We start from the raw sequence: 11892 nt of genomic DNA on the forward strand, positions 1-11892 counted from the left end.
TCACTGACCCTATTATAAAGGTTTACCTGTTGTTAAATACAAGGAAACATATTTTTCTTTTAACATACCAGCATTCTTCCAATTATACATAATGATTATTATAGGATTTATTTTTTCTTTAAGCCATCACTGCCAGGAAAGTGAATTCTGACCTAAATTTAATGCTTAACTATAATAATTCTTCTTGGATTTTTTGCATTAGGTTCCTTTCTTTGACTTTACCTCTCAACTCTTATTTTCCTGTCCATATCATTCTTTCCTAGTTTTTTTAAAATTTTATTTTAAAATCATCTTAAATAATGCAGGATGTAGGCATAAATGAATCAACTAATCAACCAAATTTCATAGTCACCTATTCCAGTAATAATGCTGCATAACAAACCTTCCCAAAACTCACTATCCTATGACACAAACATTTATTCTGTCAAAACAAAACTTGCACTTGGCAAAGTAAAACAGGCAAGGAAGATTCTCCAAGACTATTGCAACACAAGAATGATTAATACTCAGTTTGAACCCAACTCCACTCAAACAAAGAGCTGGAGAATTTTTAAAGCAAGGATATTTTGGGGGGTTGAGGAGTAGATAGTAGTCTAAATATGCTTACTAATTGGCTTACCCAAAGGAAACCTAAACTTCCTTCAAGGCAGGAGGTAGTTTTGCAGCTTGGAGCAAAGTACCTGCTGAAGTTAGGCTCCTATCCTGCCATAGAAACTGGGAGATAGGGGTAAGGGGTGCTATCTTCCTTGATGATTACATTTCAAAGACAGGTTCCCAGGTCCTTGAGAAAGACATTCATGAGGCTTTTTAAAACAATTTACATTTCGAAGGGGCAGAGAAAGAATTTACAATGACAAATTTTGTAAAATAAGTTCTTTAAGGGAAGGGAGGTCAGAACCCAGAAAAAGCCTATTTAAAGTTTAGAGAAGCTGAGAGGAAAGTTAAATTCTTCTTAACTTACAGAGTCTGTGCTCTGCTGATTAAGGCTGGGCTCACTCAGGCAGTTCTATTTAGGGCTGCAGCTTAGCTAGACTTGGCTCTGGGATTTGGCTTGCAGGTTGTTCAGCCTGCGGTCTATTTTTCACAAAGTATATTACCAACATGAAAGAGTCAAACTTTACCATGCAATCAATCTAAATCCACTAAGTGTATAACATCTGCCAATATGTTTGACCAAAGCCAACAGACTTGGTCAATGGGTATTGGTCTTAAATATCAAAGGGTTAGGGAAATATATTCTGCCTTCAGTAATAGGGGAGGAATGTGAATATTTGTTGAAAAATAATTCAAACTATCTCAGCAATCAACCATCCAACAGAAGCGAATAATTAGCTGGAGAAGTAGAAACCTTCTCAGAATTAAAAATATATATATTGTTTAGGTGGTCCAACCTCTTTCTCAGCCTCACTTCCATCCTAAGATAGGGATAAGAAAAACAGACAAAAATACAACAAGGAAATATTACAGAAGAGACAAACGAAAATGAAGACGAGGGCCTCCAGTCTTTCAAATTCTTTGATGCACCACTTCAAATTCATGATGCCATAGTGGAAAAAAAATCTTAAAATAACTGAGTAGTCAGACACACACAGGGAGACTGTAGCAAGCTATTATTGGAGAAATTCAGAGAAGAGAAAACCTATTACCTTCATATAAGAAAACATTAATCATTATCATCTGGTGAAGCATACAGATATGAAAACAGGTGACAACAATACAGTTTAATAATAGCATACTAGACTGGATGCTCTATGAAAATAATAAAAGGGAAACAGGAGGCAAATATTTGAAAGTTCAGTTTTCAAGAAAGCAAGCATAAAAGTTTTTTTTAAATGAGGGCACAAAAAGAAGGATGCATATAAACTACTGCTACTCAAAAATGTTTTAGCTCAGAAATCCTTCATATTCTTAAAAATTACTGAGAACTCCAAAGAGTTTTTGTTTTTGTGCATTATGATATTGATATTTAACATACAGAAATTAAAAATAAAAACTTTACATGCTTATTAATTTATTGTAAAATAAAATAAGCTATTATATATCCACATAAATAACATTTAATGAGCATAATTATATTTTAAAAATAAAATTTAGCATAGAGAGAGGCATTATTTTTCATTTAAAAAATGTCTACATGTCTGGCTTAAGAGAAGGTCATTGCATTCTCATATCTATCTCTGCATTCAATTTCTCATTTCAAAGTATTTGAAGAAAATGTGTTTTTTCAGATATGTAGATGGAAAAAGAAGGAATATTTTAATAACTTTTTCAGATAATTATAATTTATTTTTCTTGATACTACAACAAAACTTGACAAGTGGTAGCCTCTTAAAGGCTAATTGAAATACGGAATCTGAAATGATGTCAATGAACTTTACATACTCTGATACATTAAATTTAATTGATCACTCTTGCACTTGGAATAAATCTTTTATTCTGGCATGATTTTGCAATGTTATGCATTTGATCATTTGGAATAAGTTAGTTTATAGTTTTCATTTTACAATATGAAATAATCATATTTGTTATTATTACTACCAATCTCATCAGAAGAGTCAAGTACTGGGAAGCATTCCAGTTCATGGTGGCAAGATAAAAGTTTTTTTCCTGAAGCTATTTTTTTTCCTGAAACCTCACATTTTATTATTGGCAACAAATTATGTGAGTTGTTTTATTCAAGTAACATGTTCATTTTAAAAAATTATAAATAGGTATGGCAGATAAACCAAGACAATAGCTTTTCAGTTGCTCTTAAATGCAAAAAAACTTTTTTGAAACTAGTCAGTTCAACTCACAACTTAAACAAATGCACGAATGATTTTCCCAAAGCTCATCATTCTTGACTATGCAACAGAATCACTTTGCACATACTTTTCATTTTATCACATGGATTGTTAAAAATGTGTGTATACCAACATAGAGAAACCCCGTCTCTACTAAAAATACAAAATTAGCCAGGCGTGGTGGTGCATGCCTGTAATCCCAGCTACTTGGGAGGCTGAGGCAGGAGAATCACTTGAACTCAGGAGGTGGAGGTTGCGGTGAGCCAAGATCATGCCATTGCACTCCAGCCTGGGCAACAAGAGCTAAACCCCGTCTCAAAAAAAAAAAAAAAAAATAGTGTGTATATAAGTGTTGAGATCTAATTAAATCAATGATATTTACTATCTCATCAAGGACATTCTTAACTGAAATCCAGTTTCACTTCCTTCTTTTACTGTGAGTGCAGATGGTGAGGGATACAACAGCTAGCATTGGGTACAGCCTTGATTACTACTAAGGTATTGGAAGTTTTACCCAGCATTGATTTGTTCCATTAGCACAAATGTTTACACAGTACAAAAGGCAAATATCTTAGTATCATTATGAAAATAGATATGACTTCTTGGACCCTGTAAAAAGGTCTCTCAAAGACCTCATGTTGAAAACTAGGGATGAAAAAGATAAAATCATAGTGTAGAGTCTTAAATTTGTTTCTTTATGTATTTTCTTTCTTTCCTCAGAATGCAAACTCCAGAAAAGCAGTCGCTGTTTCTATATTGTTTTTCTTGTATCTTAGCACTTAATACTAGAGGCAGATTAATTGAATATGTAGCTATCTATAATATCTATAGTGTTTATATATGTTAAGTGTTTATATATAAGTTAATGTATTTGTAAGGTTTCATGTTTTATGTATTCGGTCAATAATAGTTAAAACCTATTTTGATAAAACATGTTAGAAGGAAGAATATATTTTTCTACATAAAGTTATAAAATTACTGCCATTTGCTATTTAAGATACAATTAAAGGATCTGCAGCCGAAATACACAGGAAAAAATGTTTTAGGAATGTGTTATGCAATTATTTAATGAAAATGTTGTTTTATTCTGATTTGTTTTCAAATTTGTATTTTTATTCTCTTATTCTAAACAAGTATTTTTTGTACCTAATTTTGTATTCTTGTTGTTAAACAACCTCCCCTCTCAGTTGTATAAGCTTCAAGACTTCAAAACCTAGATCTACTTCTGCATAAAGTAATATCTCACAAACAGTAAGTACTGTTCACTAAGTACTGATTGATTGAGTTAATGGATCTATTCAAGTCTTGTAGTAAAACCTAAATGCCTAATCGAGCTTTACAAATTTTTATTTGGACCAAGCAGTCCAAATAAGGGACAAATTATATAATGATGATGGATAACAAACAAAACCACTTTATATATTTCAAGAAGAATAATCTTTATACTAAAAAGAATAAATATTGAAAAGGGACAACTGTCATCCAAGATAGGAATAGGAGATAAACTGTAAAGAACACAGAGTTGATCAACACTTGCTGTAGTTTCAATCATGCACCCCCACCCCACCCTCCACAAGGTCTGAAAGCCCTAACCTGCAATTGGCAACAGCTCTTGATATTTACGGACCAAATTCCCTCACTGGGAATCACCACTGATAAAATTTGCACTGTTCAGCTTTACCAAACCAAAGCCCATATGTATTCCACTAAAACAAAGTATTTACCTCTGGGCATTGTATATTAGGAAACAAAGTGAAAAAAAATTAGTAGAAATGATTGACAAGGAGAGCCAAGAAATTATCTCATATGAAAAAAGAATAGAGTACTTGGGTTTTAAGGAAAACATACATAAAAGATATGGGAAAAGGCATTAATCAAGGATTAGTGAAATTCACATTAAACCATAGCAATAAATTCTGGAAGATCAAGGCCCCAAGTGAGATATGACTTACTCCCACCCTCAATACACCATGAAACATGTGATAGCCATTTTCATATACTGAATATGAATATCAAGAGAGAGATAGATCCTATTTATCTAGTCAAAGAAAAGACTCTAGTGGCAAATGAGGGACTAATTCACGGATTTAAAGGCATGCAGTGTAGAAGAATTAGATTTATGTAACCCAGAGGTTAGATTTTGAGCTATGGTAAAGAAGCCACAGAAAGACACAAGAAAAGGCATTTTTTAATTTCTCACTCTTTGTATTTGATTCTCTAATTTCAAAGTTAACTTTAAAAAATACATAAAAAATTTCAAGCATCCTAAATTACACAAAATTTGATATTTTTGTATTTATCCTGTCTTTTCTTATAAACATTTAATTTTCATTTTTAAAAAAAGTGCTTATAAACCTACACTAGGTATGTTATATGGTGGGAGAGTTTCAATGACTATATGGAAGGTTGGGCCAGGTTATGTTGATAATCCTTACCAAACCTTACATTCTAGGGTTCTTTTTAATAAATTATAGTTTTTATTTCCTGCATTGGTAAATACTACTATGAAAGTTTTCAGACAAATGACCAATTAAAAAGAGGTCCAATTTTAATAGCCTTAGTTATTAAAATTTTTATCCTGTTTATACACATATGCCTACATTCACTTGCACAAACACACACATATACACACACTCTCATATATTTAATCAAAAGTTATTATAGCAGCTGATATTAAGGGCCAGTATTCTAGGAAGGTAAACTAGTGGAACTTTTCAATTGAGTTTCTATGTAGTGTCTCTGAGAAGTGAGAATGTTACAGATTTAGGAGAAGCCTCTGTTACATGAGATGAAAATATTTTGGCATTACCGCTTCCTGTGTTTGACAATTCTTAAAGTCTGTTATCTAAGTGAATAGATTCAAGCTTCCTATGAGGTGATTTTGTCCTAAAAGATATTCTCAGGGAGGTTACAAGATGGCCGAATAGGAAGAGCTCCAGTCTACAGCTCCCAGCGTGAGCGACACAGAAGACAGATGATTTCTGCATCTACAACTGAGGTACCAGGTTCATCTCACTGGGGCTTGTCGGACAGTGGGTGCAGCCCACGGAGCAGGGTGGTGCATCACCTCAACTGGGAAGTGCAAGGGGTCAGGGGATTCCCTTTCCTAGCCAAGGGAGGCCGTGACAGACGGTACCTGGAAAATTGGGACACCCCCACCCTAATACTGCACTTTTCCAATGGCCTTAGCAAGCGGCACACGAGGAGATTATATCCTGTGCCTGGCTCTGAGGGTCCCATGCTCACAGAGCCTTGCTCACTGCTACCACAGCAGTCTAAGATAAAACTGCAAGGTGGCAGCAAGACTGGAGGAGGGGCATCCGCCATTGCTGAGGCTTGAGTAGGTAAACAAAGCAGCCCGGAAGCTCGAACTGGGTGGAGCCCACCACAGCTCAAGGAGGCCTGCTTGCCTGTGTAGACTCCACCTCTGGGAGTAGGGCATAGCTGAACAAAAGGCAGCAGAAACTTCTGCAGACTTAAACATCCCTGTCTGACAGCTTTGAAAAGAGTAGTGGTTCTCCCAACAGGGAGTTTGAGATCTGAGAACACACAGACTGCCTCCTCAGGTGGGTCTCTGAACCCCGAGTAGCCTAACTGGGAGACACCTCCCAGTAGGGGCCATCTGACACCTCATACGGCCTGGTGCCCCTCTGAGACAAAGCTTCCAGAGGAAGGATCAGGCAGCAACATTTGCCATTCTGCAATATTTGCTGTTCTGCAGCCTCCGCTGGTGATACCCAGGCAAAGAGGGTCTGGAGTAGACCTCCAGCAAACTCCAACAGACCTGCAGCTGAGGGTCCTGACTGTTAGAAGGAAAACTAACAAAAAGGACATCCACACCAAAACCCCATCTGTACATCACTATCATCAAAGACCAAAGGTAGATAAAACCACAAAGATGGGGAGAGACCAGAGCAGAAAAGCTGAAAATTCTAAAAATCAGAGCATGCCTCTTCTCCTCCAAAGGAACGCAGCTCCTCACCAGCAATGGAACAAAGCTGGGTGGAGAATGACTTTGATGAGTTGAGAGAAGAAGGCTTCAGACGATCAGTAATAACAAACTTCTCCAAGCTAAAGGAGGATGTTCAAACCCATTGCAAAGAAGCTAAAAACCTTGAAAAAAGATTAGATGAATGGCTAACTAGAATAAACAGTGTAGAGAAGTCCTTAAATGACCTGATGGAGCTGAAAACCATGGCACTAGAACTACGTGATGCATGCACAAGCTTCAGTAGCTGATTTGATCAAGTGGAAGAAAGAGTATCAGTGATTGAAGATCAAATGAATTAAATGAAGTGAGAAGAGAAGTTTAGAGAAAAAAGAGTAAAAAGAAATGAACAAAGCCTCCAAGAAATATGGGACTATGTGAAAAGATCAAATCTACGTCTGATTGATGTATCTGCAAGTGACGGGGAGAATGGAACCAAGTTGGAAAACACTCTGCAGGATATTATCCAGGAGAACTTCCCCAACCTAGCAAGGCAGGCCAACATGCAAATTCAGGAAATACAGAGAACACCACAAAGATACTCCTCGAGAAGAGCAACTCCGAGACACATAAGTGTCAGATTCACCAAAGTTGAAATGAAGGAAAAAATGTTAAGGGCAGCCAGAGAGAAAGGTCAGGTTACCCACAAAGGGAAGCTCATCAGACTAACAGCAGATCTTTCAGCAGAAACTCTACAAGCCAGAAGAGTGTGGGGGCCAATATTCAACATTCTTAAAGACAAGAATTTTCGGCCGGGTGCAGTGGCTCACGCCTGTAATCCCAGCACTTTGGGAGGCCGAGGCAGGTGGATTACGAGGTCAGGAGAGCGAGACCATCCTGGCTAACACGGTGAAACCCCGTCTCTACTAAAAATACAAACAATTAGCTGGGCGTGGTGGTGGGCACCTGTAGTCCCAGCTACTCGGGAGGCTGAGGCAGGAGAATGGCATGAACCCAGAAGGCAGAGCTTGCAGTGAGCCGAGATTGCGCCACCACACTCCAGCCTGGGTGACAGAGTGAGACTCCGTACCCTCTCCCCCACAAAAAAAGAAAGACAAGAATTTTCAACACAGAATTTCATATCCAGCCAAACTAAGCTTCATAAGTGAAGGAGAAATAACATCCTTTGCAGACAGACAAATGCTGAGAGATTTTGTCACCACCAGGCCTGCCTTACAAGAGCTCCTGAAGGAAGCACTAAACATGGAAAGGAACAACCGGTACCAGCCACTGAAAAAATGTGCTAAATTGTAAAGACCATCGAGGCTAGGAAGAAACTGCATCAACTAACGAGCAAAATAACCAGCTAACATCATAATGACAGGATCAATTTCATACATAACATATTAACCTTAAGTGTAAATGGGCTAAATACTCCAATTAAAAGACACAGACTGGCAAATTTGATAAAAAGTCAAGATCCATCAGTGTGCTGTATTCAGGAGACCCATCTCACATGCAGAGATACACACAGGCTCAAAATAAAGGGATGGAGGAAGATCTACCAAGCAAATGGAAAACAAAAAAAAGCAGGGGTTGCAATCCTAGTCTCTGAAAAAACAGACTATAAACCAACAAAGATCAAAAGAGACAAGGCCATTACATAATGGTAAAGGGATCAATTCAACAAGAAGAACTAACTATCCTGAATACATATGCACCCAACACAGGAGTACCCAGATTCATAAAGCAAGTCCTTAGAGACCTACAAAGAAACTTAGACTCCCACACAATAATAATGGGAGATTTTAACAGCTCACTGTCAACATTAGACAGATCAACGAGACAGAAAGTTAACAAGGATATCCAGGAATTGAACTCAGCTCTGCACCAAGCAGACCTAATAGACATCTACAGAACTCTCCACCCCAAATCAACAGAACATACATTCTTCTCAGCACCACATCACACCTATTCCAAAATTGACCACATAGTTGGAAGTAAAGCACTCCTCAGCAAATGTAAAAGAACAGAAATTAGAACAAACTGTCTCTCAGACCACAGTGCAATCAAACTGAACTCAGGATTAAGAAACTCACTCAAAACCACTTAACTACATGGAAACTGAACAACCTCCTCCTGAATGACTACTGGGTACATAACGAAATGAAGGCAGAAATAAAGATGTTCTTTGAAACCAGTGAGAACAAACACATAACATACCAGAATCTCTGGGACACATTCAAATTTATAGAGGGAAATTTATAGCACTAAATGCTCACAAGAGAAAGCAGGAAAGATCTAAAATTGACACCCTAACATCACAATTAATAGAACTAGAGAAGCAGGAGCAAACACATTCAAAAGCTAGCAGAAGGCAAGAAATAACTAAGATCAGAGCAGAACTGCAGGAAATAGAGACACAAAAAACCCTTCAAAAAATCAATGAATCCAGGAGCTGGTTTTTTGAAAAGATCAACAAAATTGATAGACCAAAAGCCAGACTAATAAAGAAGAAAAGAGAGAAGAATCAAATAGACGCAATAAAAAATGATAATGGGGATATCACCACCCATCCCACAGAAATACAAACTGCCATCAGAGAATACTATAAACACTTCTACATAAATAAACTAGAAAATCTAGAAGAAATGGATAAATTCCTGGACACATACACTCTCCCAAGACTAAACCAGGAAGTAGGTGAATCCCTGAATAGACCAATAACAGGCTCTGAAATTGAGGCAATAATTAATAGCCTCTTAACCCAAAAAAGTCCAGGACCAGATGGATTCACAGCTGAATTCTGCCAGAGATACAAAGAGGAGCCGGTACCATTCCTTCTGAAAATATTCCAATCAATAGAAAAAGAGGGAATCCTCCCTAACTCATTTTATGAGGCCAACATCATCCTGATACCAAAGCCTGGCAGAGACACAACAAAAAAAGCGAATTTTAGACCAATATCCCTGACGAACATCGATGCAAAAATCCTCAATAAAATACTGGCAAACTGAATCCAGCAGCACATCAAAAATCTTATCCACCACAATCAAGTTGGCTTCATCCCTGGGACGCAAGGCTGGTTCAACATATGCAAATCAATAAACATAATCCATCATACACACAGAACTAAAGACAAAAACACATGATTATCTCAATAGACGCAGAAAGGCCTTCAACAAAATTCAACAGCCCTTCATGCTAAAAACTCTTAATAAACTAGGTACTGATGGGATGTATCTCAAAATAATAAGAGCTATTTATGACAAACCCACAGCAAATTTCGTACTGAATGGGCAAAAACTGGAAGCATTCCCTTTGAAAACAGGCACAAGACAGGGATGCCCTCTCTCACCATTCCTATTCAACATACTGTTGGATGTTCTGGCCAGGGCAATCAGGCAAGAGAAAGAAATAAAGGGTATTCAATTAGGAAAAGAGGAAGTCAAATTGTCCCTGTTTGCAGATGACATGATTGTATATCTAGAAAACCCCATTGTCTCAGCCCAGTATTTCCTTAAGCTGATAAGCAACTTCAGCAAAGTCTCAGGATACAAAATCAATGTGCAAAAGTCACAAGCTTTCCTATACACCAATAACAGACAAATAGAGAGCCAAATCATGAGTGAACTCTCATTCACAATTGCTTCAAAGCGAACAAAATACCTAGGAATCCAACTTACAAGGGATGAGAAGGACCTCTTCAAGGAGAACTACAAACCACTGCTCAGTGAAATAAAAGAGGATACAAACAAATGGAAGAACATTCCATACTCACGGATAGGAAGAATCAATATTGTGAAAATGGCCATACTGCCCAAGGTAATTTATAGATTCAATGCCATCCCCATCAAGCTACCAATGACTTTCTTCACAGAATTAGAAAAAACTACTTTAAAGTTCATATGGAACCAAAAAAGAGCCTGCATTGCCAAGACAATCCTAAGCCAAAAGAACAAAGCTGGAGGCTTCATGCTACCTGACTTCAAACTGTACTACAAGGCTACAGTAACAAAACAGCATGGTACTGGTACAAAAACAGAGATATAGACCAATGGAACAGAACAGAGCCCTTGGAAATAATACCACACATCTACAACCATCTGATCTTTGACAAACCTGACAAAAACAAGAAATGGGGAAAGGATTCCCTATTTAATAAATGGTGCTAAGAAAACTGGCTAGCCATATGTAGAAAGCTGAAACTGGATCCCTTCCTTACACCTTATACAAAAATTAATTCAAGATGGATTAAAGACTTAAATGTAAGACCTAAAACCATAAAAACCCTAGAAGAAAACCTAGGCAATATCATTCAGGACATAGGCATGGGCAAGGACTTAATGACTAAAACATCAAAAGCAATGGCAACAAAAGCCAAAATAGACAAATGTGATCTAATCAAACTAAAGAGCTGCACAGCAAAAGAAACTACCATCAGAGTGAACAGGCAACCTACAGAATGGGAGAAATTTTTTGCAATCTACCCATCTGACAAAGGGCTAATATCCAGAATCTACAAAGAACTTAAAAAAATTTACAAGAAAAAATCAAACAACCCCATCAAAAAGTGGGCAAAGGTTATGAACAGATGCTTCTCAAAAGAAGACATTTATGGAGCCAACAGACACATGAAAAAATGCTCATCATCACTGGCCATCAGAGAAATGCAAATCAAAATCACAATGAGATACCATCTCACACAAGTTAGAATGGCGATCATTAAAACGTCAGGAAACAACAGGTGCTGGAGAGGATGTAGAGAAATAGGAACACTTTTACACTGTTGGTGGGACTGTAAACTAGTTCAACCATTGTGGAAGTCAGCGTGGCGATTCCTCAGGGATCTAGAACTAGAAATACCATTTGACCCAGCCATCCCATTACTGGGCATATACCCAAAGGATTACAAATCATGCTTCTATAAAGACACATGCATATGTATGTTTATTGCGGCACTATTCACATTAGCAAAGACTTGAAACCAACCCAAATGTCCATCAGTGATAGACTGGATTAAGAAAATGTGGCACATATACACCATGGAATACTATGCAGCCATAAAAATGAATGAGTTCATGTCCTCTGTAGGAAGATGGATGAAGCTGGAAACTATTATTCTGAGCAAACTATCACAAGGACAGAAAAGCAAACACCGCTTGTTCTCACTCATAGGTG

Source organism: Homo sapiens, chromosome 13 (assembly GCF_000001405.40).
Source record: "Homo sapiens chromosome 13, GRCh38.p14 Primary Assembly".
Classification (NCBI taxonomy): Eukaryota; Metazoa; Chordata; class Mammalia; order Primates; family Hominidae; genus Homo; species Homo sapiens.